This window comes from Homo sapiens, chromosome 1, assembly GCF_000001405.40.
Source record: "Homo sapiens chromosome 1, GRCh38.p14 Primary Assembly".
NCBI classification, from domain to species: Eukaryota; Metazoa; Chordata; class Mammalia; order Primates; family Hominidae; genus Homo; species Homo sapiens.
The window spans coordinates 177,655,425-177,656,506 of NC_000001.11; the positions used below are offsets into that span (position 1 = coordinate 177,655,425).

At 39.9% G+C, this 1,082-nt stretch overlaps 1 annotated feature.

Moving 5' to 3' along the window:
• Positions 243 to 744: an enhancer, noted in NCBI's record as "NANOG hESC enhancer chr1:177624802-177625303 (GRCh37/hg19 assembly coordinates)". NCBI's record gives its function as "activates a minimal SCP1, AML or CMV promoter by ChIP-STARR-seq in naive H9 embryonic stem cells {active_cell/tissue: H9 hESC(naive)}" and the evidence as "EXISTENCE:reporter gene assay evidence [ECO:0000049][PMID:30033119]".

The following is a 1,082-nucleotide window of genomic DNA, read 5'->3' on the forward strand; positions in this document are numbered from 1 at the left end:
ATTTCTTCATTTAGAAAATATTATCATACATCTGTTAGGTATATAGCATGATACTAGGTGCTCTTGAAACAACAATGCGTATCTATTATATACAGCTCCCATCCTCAAGGAACTAAAGTCTAGCTGGAAAGAAGAGAGAAACATGTAAGAAAAGCTAAATAGCACTGCAAACATTCAATAAAAATAAGATGGCCATAAAAAAGAGAAAATAATTTCAATCAAGAAAGATAGCATCGGCTATTTTAACAGTACTAATGTTACTGATAGGATAAAGGACATAAAATGTGAGAATAAGTCTTTCTGTCTGGCAATTAACAGTGAACTCTGAGAGAGAAACTTTAGAATTTGGTGACAACAGAAGCCAGATTGCAGGGTATTCGAAGTGAAATAGTAGTGAGGAAGCCCAGGATATGGAGTCCGTGGGTGGAGTCCACATATTCAAGAAGTTTGGCAAGGAGAAAACAGAGGGCCATTCTTTTGGAGACAATAGATCAAGCTGATTTAAAAGCAGATGGGAAGAATCCCACAGAGAGGGAGAGAGATTCAAAATGGCCAGAAAAAGCAGAACATCTTTCATTATCTTGAAAGAGGAGACAGGAACCAACTCTAACTATTGGGTCCAGGAGTAAGTTTCAGGAAGGATAACTACTCTAAGATAGAGAAGAATGAAGGCAGAAACTTTGAAGGAGCAGACAGTGAACCAAAAACTTCCAGGTGACTTCCACAGGCTCAGAAAAGCACAAAGCAAGACCATTTGCTGAGAGGTCAAGAGGACTGCTAAGGTAAAAACAACAACAACAACAACAAAAACTGAAGGAGAGTGGAGAAGCTTTAGAGGAAGTGTCCTTGCTTGGAACATGGTCTATGTCAGATGACTTTGTGTTCTGAGTAGATATATGAGGGGCACCTGATATAAAATCTTCCACTGTGATGCAGCTGGTTTCTCCCAGGCAGGCTGATGAAGAACACTTACAGTGAAGGCACAGGCATGTTCAAGTGCATCTGAGGATAGCATAGTGGGAGAAAGAAGGAAAAATGAAACCCAGGGGAGTGTTGAGTCAGATTTTGGGGGACATGAGAGA